This window comes from Homo sapiens, chromosome 16 (assembly GCF_000001405.40).
Source record: "Homo sapiens chromosome 16, GRCh38.p14 Primary Assembly".
In the NCBI taxonomy this organism is placed as follows: Eukaryota; Metazoa; Chordata; class Mammalia; order Primates; family Hominidae; genus Homo; species Homo sapiens.
Genome location: NC_000016.10, coordinates 54,701,853 through 54,703,000, shown reverse-complemented (window position 1 = coordinate 54,703,000; position 1,148 = coordinate 54,701,853). Strand labels below are relative to the sequence as shown.

At 48.9% G+C, this 1,148-nt stretch overlaps 1 annotated feature.

Moving 5' to 3' along the window:
- Window positions 361-861: an enhancer, noted in NCBI's record as "H3K27ac-H3K4me1 hESC enhancer chr16:54736052-54736552 (GRCh37/hg19 assembly coordinates)". NCBI's record gives its function as "activates a minimal SCP1, AML or CMV promoter by ChIP-STARR-seq in primed H9 embryonic stem cells {active_cell/tissue: H9 hESC(primed)}" and the evidence as "EXISTENCE:reporter gene assay evidence [ECO:0000049][PMID:30033119]".

Here is a 1,148-nt window from a genome sequence, read left to right as displayed (position 1 = left end):
CCCTCCAAGCAAGCCGTCTCACAAGGAGTCTTTTGCACCCACACAAGCAAGGTTGAAATAGCAATGGAAGGGAACATGGAATCCCCCACTCCCATCAGATACCCTCAGAATCCCCTTTACTTCTCGTAACATTTATTGCTGCAGTAATTAACTATTTCAATGGCTACTTATTTTTTTTTTTTTTTTTTTTTTTTTTTTTTTTTTTGAGACAGAATCTCACTCTGTCGCCCAGGCTGGAGTGCAGTGGCGCGATCTCGGCTCACTGCAAGCTCCGCCTCCCGGGTTCACGCCATTCTCCTGCCTCAGCCTCCCGAGTAGCTGGGACTACAGGCGCCCGCCACCACGCCTGGCTAATTTTTTGTATTTTTAGTAGAGACGGGGTTTCACCGTGTTAGCCAGGATGGTCTCGATCTCCTGACCTCGTGATCCGCCCGCCTCGGCCTCCCAAAGTGCTGGGATTACAGGCGTGAGCCACCGCGCCCGGCCAATGGCTACTTATTTACAGCCCATCTCCACCACTGGACACAGCTGTAGCTCCACAGAGCCTGGAGGCAGGAGACCCACCCACCACCCCAATTATAAGGACAACAAACAACTCAGAATGCTTTAGGCCTTTTCCAGTTAACTCCATTTTTTCTTTAACTGATAGTCAAAAAGAAAACCTTTTAATTTTCAACCCTGGCTGTTGAAGCACTGAAGGATGGGTACACCCAATTGCCTTTTACCAATGAGAAAAACCGGGAAAGAGTCTTCCAACCTATGATTGAAAACTGACAGCTTTGCAGTGCCCCTCCCAGGCAGAGGCCGTCAGGCAGCATTTACCCCATAGTGGGCGGGAAGATGGCCTGGTTGGAAGTTCATTAAGTGCAGGGTGGATGGCTTCCCTCTTCCCCTTCTGGGTCCAGATCTTACTTAGCACCTGGCATGGTGTGCAGCAGCCTCTGAATTGTCAGATGAAATCTTTGGGGTTTCTCCAGCACAGACTGGAGCTACCTTGTCATTATTCCTTGAGGGAAGTGGCTGGTCTTGAGTAAATAGAAGCTTCTCACCCATTTAGAAGGTTGAACAGAGCAGGTGAGTGCCTGGTAGAGCCATGGAAATCTCCAAGTCTCTTGAATACTCTTAATATTACTGTGTTTTGAGCATGG